This window comes from Homo sapiens, chromosome 3, assembly GCF_000001405.40.
Source record: "Homo sapiens chromosome 3, GRCh38.p14 Primary Assembly".
Taxonomy (NCBI): domain Eukaryota; kingdom Metazoa; phylum Chordata; class Mammalia; order Primates; family Hominidae; genus Homo; species Homo sapiens.
The window spans coordinates 150,903,694-150,919,958 of NC_000003.12; the positions used below are offsets into that span (position 1 = coordinate 150,903,694).

The window sequence follows — 16,265 nt, forward strand, 5'->3', positions numbered from 1 at the left end:
TTTAGAGAAGAATGTAAATGTCACTGTCTCTTGTTTTGAGAAGACAACATTTTATAAACTTTGAACGAATCTTTCCAGTTTACACAAAGTGTTTCTCATTACATTGTTAACTGGCCAATAAATGAAGTCAGATTATCTCTTTTTAATTCTTTCAGATTCCTACTCCCCAACAAGTGAGTATAATCGTTCTTTTTCCTTAAAAAAAATCCACCGTCTACCTTTAAAAAAATTTCTTTTCGCTTTTCTTGACTGATTCTCATGACATGTCACTGTAAGTTAGCATCAGCTCTTCTTCAAATTTACTTAGCTTATATACTAATGTTGTGCAACAAATCTGTCCTATTGGTGGCTGAAACATGAGGGAAACCACCTTCTTAGTTTTTCTGTATTCCTAGAGGCAAAGATTCTTTCTTATCTCAGAAGCACAGCATTCAAATCACGGACTACTGATCAGCTAAGATGCATTTTGTAAATCAAATGGAAAATCTTTACATTTGTGCCAATGGGTTTTTCCCACCGTGTGTAAAGCATAACTTGACTTTTTTTTCTTTTAAAGATTGTTTTATCTTTTGAATGTTCTATCCCCCCAAATGATAGATATCTCCATTTAATACTTCCAAGACTAAAATAGAAGCATTATTGCTCTGATTCTAATTTAGACTGTGGTTAAGAGAGTTTTAGCATAAATAAGACTTTTGATCATAGGCTACTTGGGGCGAGAAGCTTTAGCATTATAGTTAAAATATTAATGATTCAATTGCTTGATCATATATACTAGTACCATGAAAACCACCTTAATATTTTATGCTGTGTTTGCTCAGTGATTGAAGTAATACCTGAAATACAAAGTCCATTACCTTCTAACCTTTTCAGTTTACATGAGGTACAAACATCTTTCATCTTATATTGTATATCAGATTTTAAAATACCTTTTTAGCACCAGAATTCAGTCATCTTTCTCTTATTTTAAAATGGTAAAGGAAAATGATTTTTCACAAGCTGAATAAAGACGATAACTATTTTCAAAACTGCTTTTCTTCAGGGACACAGAAGCACTTGGTTGTCAGAATCCAGTGTTATTTCACAAATGTGGGAACTTTCGATTTTAATATTACCTTTTTTCCTAAAATAATAACCATATGATGCTCTTAATGATACAAACATAGCTCTTAGAAGTAGAAAGAGAAATCCATAAAAAAGCACAAGAAAAAAATCTTCGACAGGCTTTCTAGTTTTATGTTTTCACGCGTTAAATGCCAGTGCCTGAGTGACATTATGTGCAAAGAATAAATGCAGATTATGCTGTTAATGTGATTGTTTGAAGAAGCAACTAAAGGAGAACACACTGGCTTTGGGAAAAGTAATTACCTGAGGAGTTGAATTATTGGTTCCCAACCTTTAAATGAAAGAGAAAACATCAAGTAAATTACTCACTCTCTTCAAACCTCACATCCACAAACCTCCCAAACCCCAACCTTGCTAGGGAAGTCTCTGTCCACGAATAGTTATGCCTGAAGCATTTTAAAGGTAAATCTATAAAGGAAATTTCTCATGTTGCAAGCTTATAAGTTGATTACTTAAACACGGAAAATTCCTTTGTTTCTAAAGAAATGAGAGAATGAGAACACCTTACCTGTGATAACTAAAGATTTCCCTCCATTTGTCAAGGAATGAAATTTTCCTTGAGATCTCCTCTAAATCCAGCTGTTCGGAGCTTTGTTCCTGGCCCAAGACCTCCATATCCATTTGGATAATGGGAGGAACTGAAAACGGGAAGTTCTTATGATGGGAGAGAGAGGTCGGGCTGTGGAGAAGCAAGTGAGGTGGCTGAAACAGATGGCTAGAGGAAGTGTGCCACCCCTACTTTGACCAGCAAAGAGATCACTCCACACAATTGCTGCTCTGAGCGCACTGTAAGCCCCTGCTATCAGATCATGATTAAACTTTCATTAGAGGTAAAATAGTCTGTGTATTTTTGTTCACTATATAGGGACCATGAATGTTTAATTTAAGACATAGATTTATAAACAAAGGGATTGCAATTATCTGTATCAAAGCAATTGGGATAATTTAATTGGTGAGAGATACTATGCTGGTGGTGGAATGTGATAGTTTTTTATGCTGTAATGCCTTCTTGGAAGTGTTTGTGGAGCAGAAATACATAGCCAAAAGTGAGTAAAAACCATCCTGCTGACATCAGAAAACTTTATCAACTACCGTTGGATAATATATAGGCCAAAAAAGACACTGGCCAACTGGCATTTGCTGTAGAGTTTAGTACACAGAAATCTTGCACAGTTGAAGAACTGGTCTGATTTGTTTCAGGGAGAAATCCAAAAGTTATATCATTATATCTCTTCTTGTTGGCTTAGTGAATTATAGCTGCAGTCACTGATATAATAAAGAATATTGATGGTTTTGATGATTAATTTTATGTGTCAACTTGGCTAGGCTGAGTTGCCTACATGGTACTCATGTAAACACCAATCTAGATGTTGCTATGAAGGTCTTTTTTAAAAGATATGATTAACATTTATATCCGTTGACTTTGAATAAAGCCAATTACCCTTTGCAATGTGGATGGACCTTATCTCATCAGTTGAAGGCCTTAAAATGGTCCCCCAAGGAAGAAGGAATGCTTCAGACAGGCTTTGGACTCAAGACTGAAACATCAGCTCTTCCCTGGGACTGCAGACTGCTGGTCTGCCCTGCAATTTAAATTTTTTGACTTGCCAGCCCTCACAACTGCATGACTGCCCTCACAATTGTCTATATGTATGTGTGTGTCTATATGTTGCCTATTGGCTCCATGTCTCTGGAGAACCCTAATATAATGTTGTTTATCAAAAACAATACTGGTTACCAGTAAAAGTTTTCTCTTGCTCCTTCTGACTTGGTTGAATATAAATCTTGAACCTCTTCAATAGGAGGTCATTTTCTCTATAAACATTTCTAATCATGAGTTATATAAAATCCTGGGAATGCTAAGAGGTCAAGACAAAGAGGCTATGTGGATTTATTGTGACTAGAGTGGTCAGGGTTGAGAGGACTGGTTATTTATAATGTTGCAAAGACCTTGAAACGTAGCCAGGCACCAAAGAAACCAGAGGTGGGTTTAGGTGTCCACAGTCTTGCTTAGGAGTGCTCCACCACCAGTTTCTTCAACTAATTTTTGGTGGTGGTTTAACTACCTGATTTCCACAGGTCTCAGAAATGTTCATCAGATTTACTATTTTTGTTATAAACATAAGAGGCCGAAATAAATCATTTTTTATTTCCCTTCACTAACCATAAAACCTTTTTTTTTTTTAAAAAAAAGACACTTCACTACTGTTTTCCTGTTTATAGTTTTATAATTTTAATAGTGGCATCAGTATTAATATTTATTGGGCACCCACAGTGTAGAAAAAAATAAGAAATGACATAATTCTTGTTCTCAAATAATATGATGAGAAATGTTCCGGAATTTCCTATTTAAAAAATCATATTAAAAAATAAATTCTGGATCCGCCATTTAAATTATTTAACAACCCAAAACCAGAAGAGGGGAGCAGCTAAGGAAACTATTTTTTAAAGACTCATTATTAAATCTGTGTATTTTTGGCTACATCTGTGCCCTAATTTACAGAGAATTCTGTAAAGGTAGAAGCATAAATCCCAATGATTAGATAACTTACCAATAAACCATCCTGTTGAGTTCAGTAAATGTATTTTGACTCTTCCCTACACACCAGGGACTTGGAGGTTCCAAGGTGAACCAGATGTGGTTCCTGCTCTTCCTAGTGCAAGAAATAGACACGCAGCGAGGAAAATGCAGTGGAACAGCGGGAGCACAGGGGATGGGCAAGACAGCAGGGTGGTTAAGAGCATGGGCTCTGGGCCCAAACTGCTTAGTTCTGAATCATGGTTTCACCTCTTACTTGCTATATCACCTTAGACAGTTTATGTAATCTCTCTATGCCTCAGTTTATTCATCTATGAAATGGGGATGATTTCATATCTTTACCATATTGAGACTTCTATGAACATTGTATATCACTATTTGTTTAGATCTTATTTGTCTTCCCATTGTTTATTTAGACTTAATCCCCAGGAGTGAAATGACTGAATCAGATAATGTGGTCATTTAAAGACATTTGACACAAATTACCAGGGTTCAACACTGTTTGTGATCATCTCTTGCCCAGCCCTCTTATTACTTTTATCCCAGGGTGGAATTCATGATCTCACTTTTCAATAAAGAAAGTGCTGTCTTTCCTTCCCCCACCTTTCTCTCCTCTTTCAGTTAGGTCCTCCATATGGAAAGGGCTGGTCTCTGGAATACACCAAGGTTTAAGAATGCAATTCAGCCACATCCAGAGAAAAGCACCATTCTTTGGGGCATTTTATTAAAAGACTTAGAGCAGGAAGCCTGGCTGTAAGAAAAAGGTTGGGAAGCAGATGTGGGGTTGGAGGATCCTGGACCAGGTCTGGAGAGAGGGGGCAAGGGAGGGTACAGAAATATGTGGAATCTGAGATTTCCCTCTTCCATTTTTATGTCCTTGCTCCCTCCTTACAGCATATGAAGTCATCTAAAGCTCTTATCCCAAGACTGCTCCTGATGCAGCAAAGGACTGGGACTAAATGTGGGGTATCAGGCAGTAAGGGGTCTGCAGCAGCAAAAAGAAAGCACAAGTACAAAGCAGGGGCCGTGGTGGGGATGGAGAGTTTCTGTGGCCCCGCAATGGGGGATAGATAGTGGAGGGTCTGAAATCATCCACCTATAAAAGAAATGCACTGTGTGAGTGCAGAAATCTGCAGCTGAGTCCATTTGCTTTCTTTGTGGATAATTTTTAAAAATATGAACGGTATCATGAGAAAAGCTAGTATGTATTTCAAACCTGGAAATTAATACGTAAAATTTAATGCCATTAACATTTGCTATAGTCTCCCAGAAAGCTCTGACTGATCTTTACAATTTATTTACTCAGTTCAGCCTTATAGTCAAAGTTGAAAACCTTGGGCTTGCAAGCGTTTTGACTAGCTTGCAAAATCATTCCCAACCTTTCTTCTTGCTGTTTTCCTGTGATGTTTCATAAACAGAAATCTGAAAGCAGAATTTTCGAGGCTTTTGATTTTTTTAAAACAAAATCTCGTTAGCGTTTAATTAACCTTATCCCTGGAAAGCTCTTCCTTAGGATTAAGTGAAATCCTTTATGCTTTAATTACCATGCATTTTCTTTAGTAATACTTTCTGTGGAGATGGAAATTTCCTGATTATATCCCTTCCTAAAAGAATTCTGCCAATCCACTGGATACTAGAAGATGGCTGAAATATTCTCCCTTTGTTCTTTGGTGCTATAGGGAGGAGGAAGAAGGTGGAGGTCAGACCCAGGGTGAAATCCCAGCTCCTCCTCCATGACTGAATAGCCTTGGAGAAGTCACTTAGGGTCTCTGAGCTTCACTTTCCACACTTCTTTGACTTATAGAGTCATGATGTATATGACATATAAAAACTCCTAACCTTTAATCAACATTTTCTTGGCTCTTATATGTTAAACTTCTCCTTTAAACATTTTATTTTTTCTGGAGAAAAAAAACCCATTTTATCTTTTATGCCTTTGTGTACTTTAGCGGTGGCAGAATGAGTCAGGGACACGGTTAGAAGTCAAAAGTCCTGAAGTGAGGAAACACAGGCATTGGTCCCAACTCAGTCATTGGCCTTTGGCTGGTCCCCTAGTCATTGGTATGGGCCCCAGTCATCATCTTCAAAGGCCGTAAAGACCAGTGTGGTATAATAGGAAATCTATATTTGGTCTTTCTCCCTGGTTCCTAAAACACTTGGAATTTCCTGAGTGATGAAGGCGATAGAAGCATCTTTTATTCTAATGAGCTACTCTTAGTGGGCTCCTAAGCAGCTTCAGAACAGGGTGTTGTCCCCAGAAAGACCAAGCCTTGATTAGATGTTTGGAACTTTTAGCTCACACCCCAGCCTGCGGGGAAGAAAGAAGGGGTGGAGATGATTTAATCACTAATGCCCGATGGCTTAATCAATAATGGCTATGTAATGAAGCCTCCATGAAAGTCCGTAAACAACAGGGTTTAGGGAAGTTCCAAGTTGGCAAAAACATCCACATGCTAGGAGGGTGTTGCATCCCAACTCCACCAGAGACAGAGGCTCCTACACTCAGGACTCCCCCAGACCTGGCCTTGCATACATCTTCATTTGGCTGTTTATTTGCATCCTTTATAATAAACTAGTAAGTGTAAATAAAGTGGCTTCCTGAGTTCTGTGAGCAAGTCTAGCAAATTAACAAATTATCAGGGGGTCATGGGAACCCCTGATTCACAGCCAGTCTGTCAGAGGTACGGGTGACATGATCCTTGCAACTGGCATCTGAAGTGAAGGCAGTCGGTGGGACTGAGCCCTCACACCTGGGGAGTGTGACACTAACTCTGGGTAGTGTCAGATTGAATTGAATTGCAGGACACCTACTTAGTGTTGGGGGATTGGAAACTGGTTGGTGTGGTAAAATACCTCTCTCCTTTGGTGTCCAAAAGAACCTGGTAACCAGCACTTGTCACACAGTTCCTGGAGTCACACTGGGTGGGAATCTCTGCTCCTCTTCTGTGATAGTTGTCCATTCTGTGTAACAAATTACCACAGACTTGGCGGCTTAACACCACCCGTATGTTATCTCACAGCTTTCAGGGGCCAGGAGTCTGGGCATGGCTTAGCCGGGTCCTTGGCTCAGGGTCTCACAAGGCAGCAGTGAAAGTGCTGTCCAGGTCTGCAGTCCCGTCTAGACTTGGGATCCTTTCCTAAGCTCGCATGGTTCTTGGTGGAATTCATCTCCTTGTGACTGTAGAACTTGTTTCTTCAAGACCAGCAGGAAAGAGGGAATCTCTGCTGCTTGAAGTCTCTGATCCTGGGGAAACATCTCTGCTCTTATAAAGAACTCACTTGATGAGGTCAGACCCACCCAGGATAATCTCCCTTTTGATTAACTCAAAGTCAAACTGATTAAGGATCTTAGTTACATCTGCAGAATCCCTTCACCTTTGCCATATGTGATCATGGGAGTGACATCTCATCACCTTTGCCATATTCCACTGGCAAAAAACAAGCATAGGTCCTGCCCACGCTCGGGGGAGAGGATTCCTCAGAAGCATCACTGGTTGGTATTGGGGTGGGGTCACCCTAGCGTGTGTCCACCACATCTATTTACTGGCAGCGATCTTGGGCCAACAATTTCACCTCTTTGCCTCAGTTTCTACTCTTATAAAATGGGGATAACAATATCAGCTCTTTCACTAGGTCACTTTGAGGAATCATTAATTAATACCTGAAAAGCATTTAGAACAGTGGCACATAGCAAGAGTGCAATTACTTTTTGGTGTTTATCTTCAAAATAGGGACAATTCCTGCTTGGTTGGCCTCTTGGGGTTGCTATAAACCTTCCAGGGGCCTGGAAGGTTTCTGCTAACTGAAAAGGACTATGCAAACAAGATGGATTATTGTTTTAGGGTCTGTTTTTCATTTTATTTTGTCTTTCTTGTTTAACCAGGACTCTTGTCTGTGAGGACCAAACTGAGTTTAAACTGTGAAGTAAAAAGGGAATTTAGTGTCTCATTTGATTTCAAAGGAAAAACTCAGTTTAGATATGACTGAACACACATGCTCAAATGACACTGTTGGAATCTAGTCTCTCTCCACCTCTGGGCTGGCTTGCTTCTATGTGGGCTTTATTTTTAGGAAGGCTCTCCCATGATAGGAAAGACGACAGCTCCAGGCTTACTTGTATCAGATAAGCCACTCCAGCAAGAATACCCCTATTTCCTATCGGAAAATTTAGCAAAATCCCAGGATTGATTCTCATTGAGTCTTTTGCCCAATCTCTGTGACCAGGGCGATGGGAAGCACTAATTGGCCAGGTCTGGCTTATGTGCTCACTCTTAGAGCTGGAGGATAACATTAGATCCCCTGACTGAGGGTGAGGAAGAATAGCTCTCCAACAGAAAATGGAAAAGCTGTTACCAGACCGGGTAGTGGATGTTTGCTTGTATATATATTTTTTAAAAAAGGCTCACTGCACTCTTACAAAGTATGAACAACAAGACTAGAACTCCCTGCCAATAAAGCATAAACATAATGTAAGAGCTATTTCTGAAAATACATGTGGTCTTCTCCTGTTGAATCAGACTGTGACTGCTGCAGGGATCACACAAGCCATCTAGTCAACCTCCCCCTCCCATGTCCCCAACAGATGGTCAGCCAGGCACCCCTGGAATACTGTCAGCTGCTTTATTTTCCTCTTCCTCTTTCTTCTGTATAAAAGCTATCCAGCATCTCAGGTCTGTTCATTTGCTTGCTCAGCATTCCTGAAGCCTCTCTTCTAGTCCTGTTGCCTTGGCCCTCATTATCCATCTTGCATGTCTAAAGTGTGCATGGGGCATTATGGGGAAAAACACTTGGTGGAAAATTGAAAGGTCAGTGTTTGATTTGCTCCTAAAATAATAACAGATTATTTTATAATCAATATGTAGCTGTTCACTTAAAACACGTATCTGTATGTATTCGCATAATAAAAAATACACCCCAAATCTTATTACGTCATTAATCAGGATGGGGGAAAAGACAACCATTGCTTCAGACAAACTATACAACATTCCTGAATGATTTCTTATTTCTTTCTTCCAAAGAACAGACATCCCATGTGCACTTCCAGAGCCCCAGCTGAGCCACTAAACCTAAGAACTACATTCTACAAGTAATGTGTCCGAGGCAGCCATTGGATGCCTCCATCAATTTGTGACCCCCCACCCCGATCTCTTTTTGTTCCTTATTCTTTTAACAAATGCCACCTCTTCTCCTATTTTCATATAATTGTGCAATGACACATAATTATCTATTTAAATTTGTGGACAGAAGGAAACGAAGATTCTGCTTTGATTCATCATGTTGGCGTTTCACTTCTGTCCATTTGCCTGCTTTGAGATATTTTCTGCCTTGTTTTAGAAGCTGCTTAGGTATCAGAAATGTTATGAGTCAGTGAGTAACAAGATCTGGGTTCATCAAATCTGCTGTGTGATCTTTTGTAAGTCACTTATCCTCTCTGGGCCCTAGGAGGTAAAATATGGGGTTGGACAACACTAGATAATCTCTGGGTAACCCCTTCACGGCTTACTGTCTCTGACATTGGCTTAATTTGTCAATTCTACCTAACTCCACCCGGAATCTCTTGACTCTTAGAAGAGGCCAATGAGACCTCTTCTATTTATAGGCTGTTTGTGGTTTTCTAATGCTTTGTGTTCCCTCTCTGAACTTCAAATCATCCAATTTTCTCTGGAACCAAGAAAGCCCCTTAAGAGGCAGCAGAGTTCATTCTCAAGAACATAACTCTAGGAGCCAGAAGCGTAGTCGTACTGACAAAGTCAAAAAAGGAGGCTAAATTAACAGATGCTCCAAGTAGAGTAATGAACAAGGTGCAGAAATGTTTCTCATAATGACTGCCTCCATAGAGTATAAATAGGAATGCATGCCTTTCTTCCCTGTCTCCCCTCACACCATCTGTTATTTGTGTCAGGCAGTCAGTAATTGCTATATGTGACCCTTGTTGTTAGTAACAGGGACAACACTGTACATTGCAGCTTTCTTTGCTTTCTCCCATCTCCTGGCAGCTGTGGCTCTAAGGTTCGCGAGTATGCTAAGATGGTAGATTAGGATTTCCCTGGCTCTTGTAACTAAATATAATCAAATCACTCACCCTCCCTATTGGGAAATAAGTTATAAATAACAAGTCAGAGCAATCTTTCATCAGAGAGGCTGTGGTTACTAGGAAACGAGCACTGCAGTCAGGCTTTCTATTGTCGTGATATATCCATATGGCTTGGGGTTTTAGCTCAGGTTCTCTGTCTTTGGCCTTTCAAATGGTTCATGAGTATACTGTTCTTGCTATTAAAGTATTCCTTTGTAAATTTTAAGGGATGAAGACTTGGGTTCTAACTTTGGCCTTTCTCATCAACTTGCTGTGTGACTTTCTGTGAATTAATTCACCTCTCTGGTCTTCAGTTTAATTCTCAGCAACAGATGAGAAGGTTGGGTTAGATCAAGGCAAATTGTGGCCCATAGGCCAAATTCATTCTAGTGTCCATTTATGTATAGCCTGCAAGTTAAGAGTGGATTTTATATTTTTAAATAGTAGGAAAAAATCAAAAGAATCCATAACATAAAATATTCTATTTCATAGTATATCATATAATTATGTAATATATTTCATGAAACTTATATAAAATTCAAATTTGTGTCCATAAACAAAGATTTGTGAAAACACAGCCACATTCATTTGTTTATATGTTTTCTATGATTACTTTCACACTCAACGGCAGAGTTGAATAGCTGGGGCAGAGACTGTATGGCCTGCCAGGCCTGAAATATTTACTCTCTGGTCCTTTACAGAAAGTTTGCTGATCCCTGAGTTAGATCGTCTCTTAGGTCCCTGTAACTTTATTTTAAAAATTGACTAATTCTCAGCACAGCTCCTTCTCAACCTGAGAAATTCCAGGCTGTAGGTGAACCAGTCCTGGGCTGCTCCTAGAGGGAATCTGGTACCTCTGCCAAGTCTTGAAAAGGACTGGGAAGTGTGTTGGCCAGAGACAGGATTGGAATGTTGAACCCCAGCCCTCCTGCTCTTGCTCTGGGTCAACCCAGGCCTGGGAACCAGAGTGATGAGCCATGAGCTTGCCCTGAGAGCTGGGGGCTGCAGTGGTTGTGGGCTTAGGATGTTGCTGTTGTGATACAGAGATCTCAAGAACAGTGACCTAAACAAGCTAGAAGCATATTTATCTTTCCAACAAAAGTCCTGGTAACTTATACACCAAAAAAGACATATCAATTGATTGCAATGTATGGAATTTATTTGGATCCTGCCAAAAAAATTATGAGATAATTGGGGAAGCTTAAACACTACATTTTGATAATAAAGAATTATTTATTTATTTTTTAGGTGTGGTAATGGTTTTGTGATCTTGTTTTCAAAAGACAGTCCTGGGAGACATACTGCGATTTTATGGATGAAATGATATGATGTCTGAGATTTGCCTCATGATAATCCAGGTGGGGAGGGTTGGAAAAATTGTCCAGGAGTTGGTAGTTGAATACATGTAATGGGTACCTAAGATTCATTATACTACTTTCAATAATCGTGTATATATTTGAAATTTTCCATAACAAAAAGTTTAAAATATTTAATGTTCATAACCGGTGATTAAAAATTTATACTTTAAAGAAATTTAGTCCATGAAAAAGCTCACGCGAGTGCCAAAAATGTATCATTACAGTCATCATAGCTGGGTTTATAAAATACCTGGGAACAAGTTTCCCTATAAGAAAAAATTTCCTGAAGAGGAACAGTTGTGTCAAAAGTTTCAAGCATTTAAAAATTTTAATTGACTGAATACACATTATTAATTTTATTATCGGTATATAGTCATTTATAATTTTTACATATATAAATAAAGAGCAGATAAATTCTTATTCCCTAATCAATTATATCTACTTTTTTTTTTTTTGAGATGGAGTCTCACTCTGTCGCCCAGGCTGGAGTGCAGTGGTGCGATCTTGGCTCACTGCAACGTCCACCTCCTGGGTTTAAGTGATTCTCCTGCCTCAGCCTCCTGAGTAGCTGGGACTACGGGTGCATGCCACCATGCCCGGCTAATGTTTGTATTTTTAGTAGAGACGGGGTTTCACCGTGTTGGCCAGGATGGTCTCTATCTCTTGACCTCGTGATTCGCCCGCCTTGGCCTCCCAAAGTGCTGGGATTACAGGTGTGAGCCAGCACGCTCGGCCAATTATACCTACTTTTTATTTTGTATTTTTAGCCAGTATATTAATCATGAAAGCATTTAGCAATTATGGGGTGTTTACTATGACACCATGCATGATATATGGCATTTTGTTATTTCTTTACTATGACTGCTATGAAATTATTTCTTAGACTTGAAAGTAAGTCTGGGTTGACAGGATTGGTGTGATGGTTTCTCAATTATGAGGCATCCAGGCTCCTTACATTCTGTGGCCCTGCCATCCTCATACTTGGCTTGCATCTCATGGTCCAATGTGGCTGCTTTGTTTCCTGCCATTAACTCTGCATTCCAGAATGTAGAAAGGGGAAAGGGAGAAAAGACGTGACCTATAAGGGCGTGACACCGAATTCGTACATGTTACTTTTGCTCATATCCCTTAGGCCAGAATCATGTGGCTTCTGGTTGCAAGGGAGGTTGGAAATGTAGCCTTAGGTTGGACAGCCATCCATTCTACTGAGAATACTATTACTGCATAGGAAAGGGAAGATAACTGGTGGGGGGCCATGAATAGCCTCTGCCTTGGATGCCTGACAGATGTGCTTACGTGCGCACTCGAGAAACCTTCCTCTTGATCTGAGCCTATTTCTTGCCTTTCCCTTTCTTCCATCTGTATTCTTGTCCTTCCTCCCCTTCTCCCTGCCTTCTTGTCAACAGCTTGGTTGGGGGGCCCAAGTAAGCATATTCATTCAGTCCTGGTGGTTCTGATATGGATGCCCCCTCACCTATTGCTCATGTATTTCTACTGGTTCAGTCACTTGTCCCCCATATCCACATTCACATAACTGGTTTTGCAGCCCAGGAGATGTGGATAAGTCCTGCCTCCCTTATTTAGTCTACCTGTGACCTTGGGTAAGTTGACTAACCTTTGTAAGCCTCATCTTCCTCCCTCTAAAGAAGGCATCATTGCATCAAAGCAGAGTCCCTGCTTAGCCTACCTTATGTGATCATTGTGAGGATTCAAAGAGAGTCATGGAGACTTGGGGTTTCAAAGGGTGAAGAGCCACATGGCTGAGAAATAGGGCAGGGAGAGTGCTCCAGCGTGCTGTGTACTTTTCCCCAATCTGACCAGCTCCTTTCTCACAGAGGGAGCCCCAGGAATCTGCACAGGACCCCAACCTTGACCACAGCTCATTGGTTCAGGCATGGAATCTTATCCCTAACAAGCTTGATTATTTCTTTTGGGGATATAGCATTTTGACTCAAGGGTCATATAACGATGACAGAGTCCTACTAGTGGCTGAGGTCTGTAGAGAGACCACCGACATACCTGGGGTACTAGAGTCTTCCTTCCTGACACCTGGAGGTCAAAAGTCCTCCTACTCTGAGAAATACCTTATTCCTTCAGTACATTCATTTCTTTGCTTAAATTTGTTAAGAGTAATTTCTCTTTCTTACAAGAGCCTTAAGTAAGCAATTTTATTATTGGCAAAATTGACAAAGTTTAATATTTGGTGCTTTAGTCTTATAAATCTGTGCCCTTTTCACCCCCTCAGGGTGAAAGGTAAATTGTGGTTTCTTCCTCATTTCCATTCTCTTTCTCCAATCAAAATTAGTCATTCAAAAAGATTCCAACAGCAGTCATTGACACTGTAAAAAAAAAATGAGAATTTGTAGATCTCTACCTCTCCTAGAGTGACTGTGTAGCCTTAATTCCATTACATAATAAAATATATTTTTCCCTGATAAAGAAATTGTATACATTGGGAAAGAGAGGAGGAAGTGGATTTTCTGAAGAAAGTGAAGAGCTTTCAACCCCTCACACCTCTGCTTAACATCGTGTGATGCAGGGGGCTACTTAGTTTGCTTGTGTGCTTGTCCACATAGGGGCATCCTCACAAATGTAAGTAGCCACATCACAATGCAGTATCAAGCAAGCTTAGCTTACACTGGGTTTGAAGGCAGAAGACCTGGCTCCTTGACCCTACTCTACCTCATTCAACTGGCTATTGCTTCTAGCCCTTTGAGGCACCACCCAAGCATTTTGAACTCTTGCATGAAATCTCCGATTGCCTCACTGAACTTTGGGTCCCACTTTTGAGGCTTCACTTCTACCTTCGGTATTCTCACCCCTCATCCACTTGTAACATTTGGGTGGCTTGTCTGTGCATAATAGAAATTTTTTTTTCATTGAACACTCATTAAAAACAGCAAGACAGATTTTATTAGGTTGCTGCAAAAGTAATTGCGGATTTTGGCATTAAATGTAATGGCAAAAAACACAATTACTTTTTCATCAACTTAATATTTGAGCTACTGCAGTAGGAGAGACTTCAATTCAGAACAGAGCTCGACTTCAAATAGAGAGTCTCTTCCTCACTCTTTACGTTTGGTCCATCATCAAATCTCGACTACACGTTTGCATGATACACATTTCTGCATCCATCTACTGTCTGAGTCTGACTCTCATAATCTTTTGGGTGACTTTCTGTAAAATGTTCTCATTGGTTGACTAGGTTCTGTTCCTGTCCCTCGTCGACAGGCCCCAGCATGTTGTTCTGTAATGCAAATCGGACTATGTCATTTCCCTTCGTGAGCTGCTGGATAAACTCCAACATGCAGAAGGCCCCCCTTACCAGGATCTGTGCTTGCATCCTCTGTGCTGCTGCTGCAGAGTTAGCCTCCGTCAGAACACCGAGCACCTCTCCACGGTTGGATAGATTTAAATCAGCATTGCCTGTGCCTTCCTCTGCTCTATCAGCTTGCTAAATCAACACAGTCCTCCCTAGGTGTCAGGATGATACTTCAGCTGAAGACAGTAATTAATTTGACTTAGAATCCAGAGTATTTGCAACTCATGAGGTACTGAAGATATAGCTTTGAACTTCTGAGCAGGGAGCAGATTTGGAAAGCCCTCAAGGTGCCCTACAGAGAAACTTCCAATTTCTCAAGCAAGCCACTTTAAAAATATGATATAAACCTTTTACTGCTTAAAGAAAAAAAGGGAAGTAATGCTAATATAAAAGAAGAGAAAAGGGAGAAAGAAAGCTTGACAATGAGTAGGGCGTAGTGAGGCTTAAAATACTGACTGCTCATCTTCTTGTCTCCTTGGTCTGCATGGTGGAACAATGTACAAAATGGAGTTGCAAATGCCCAACTGGTTATGGTGGGCCCTGGACCCCTCTGCTCACCACAGCACAGCGGAAATAAATGCTCCTACGATGCGCTGCACCATCTGGTGGTTCAGTGCTCCCAAGGAAGTACAGGATTCCTTGGAATCGTTGGCCCTGTAGAGATCCTTTAGGTGGATCCTCTTTCACGTAGTGGATAATCCAACTGTGTATTGAATCCTGACTCCACACAATGTGGGCTGGGGACCCTTCTGGATGCATTGATAAGACATTAATGAGAGCTGATGGGCATGAGGCTTCTCCTTTTTGGTTATAGAAGGAAATGTAGCTAGGTACCTGGAGAGGAGAAAAGAGGGACCTGTGACAAGAGAGAATGCAAGCAGACATGTGGCATCTCAGGCAGAAGCAAGGCGGTTAGGGGCACAGAAGACTGGGAGTGCCACAGCAGTGGGAGGAGCTGTTCTCTACCCTGACCCCACTCTACCCCAGGCCGCAGTGCATTCTAGAACCCTGGGTTGCAGAGCATCCCTCAGTGAACAAATCCTTTGCTTCAGCCAAGCAGTCTTCTCACAAAAGCCTCAGGAGCAGGTCAGCTGTGAGCTGCCTTGGTGTGGAAACTGGGATGACAGACTTGTTCCTGGGTACACAGGAGGATTTAGAAACTCCCAGAATGGAAGGGGAGGCACATGGGGAGTGGGCAGGGCTGGGGAGCAATGCCTTGGTTCTCTACTTGGAGGAGCTTGTAAGAGCCACCAAAATTGGAAATTAAGGCTAGTGTGATGGTTATTTGTGTGCATATATGGGGGCAGTTTGGAGACATTTAGATTAGTTTCTCATAGGTAAACAAAGTTCAGGAAAAGTTAGGTGACACCCCAGACTCACAGAACTGGTGAGAGGAAGAGTTTGGGCTTAAACCTGGTGCCCTTTCCATTTCATCAAGCTGGTTTAACTTGAATTTACTTACTGAGAAAACAGTCTGTACTTTAGTAGCAGTATAGTTTCTGTGATTTTTGGAAAGTGATTTGAGTTCTAAGAGCAGGGGCTATGCCCTGTATTTTTCTTTCATGCAGGACACATGGTTGAAGCTTAATCAATATCTTATGAGTCATTTGATTCATTCATTAGAACAAGCATCAGCATCTTCTCTCGAGTGCTCTGGGCAGTTACTGGCAAAGGATCAGGAAGATATTGCAGGACAGTAGATCTTATGAATCAAAATAGTCACCTCCTTCAAAATGAAGGCGTGAAAGCTTCATCAGATTTAGAGTTAGATGGAAATTAAGGAAAATGGCAATGGCAGGAAGCTGATTGTGTAGGGGAACCTCAGCTGAGGTTGGAAACAGATCTCTG

The 16,265-nt window shown here is 40.7% G+C and overlaps 1 protein-coding gene across 1 annotated transcript in view, besides 1 other annotated feature; it reads right to left on the reverse strand.

Annotated features, from left to right (window-relative positions):
• MINDY4B (MINDY family member 4B) overlaps positions 1 to 1,746 on the reverse strand; it is a 35,064-nt gene extending 33,318 nt beyond the window's left edge. Inside the window, exons 1-2 of the mRNA NM_001351281.2 lie at positions 1,634 to 1,746; positions 1,369 to 1,396 (exon numbers count right to left, since the gene is read on the reverse strand). Of these exons, the coding sequence (NP_001338210.2) occupies positions 1,369 to 1,396; positions 1,634 to 1,746 (141 nt within the window). The remainder of the gene's footprint in view (positions 1 to 1,368; positions 1,397 to 1,633) is intronic.
• Positions 8,996 to 9,095: a silencer, noted in NCBI's record as "silent region_14821". NCBI's record gives its function as "represses an Ori minimal core promoter by ATAC-STARR-seq in GM12878 lymphoblastoid cells {active_cell/tissue: GM12878}" and the evidence as "EXISTENCE:reporter gene assay evidence [ECO:0000049][PMID:35858748]".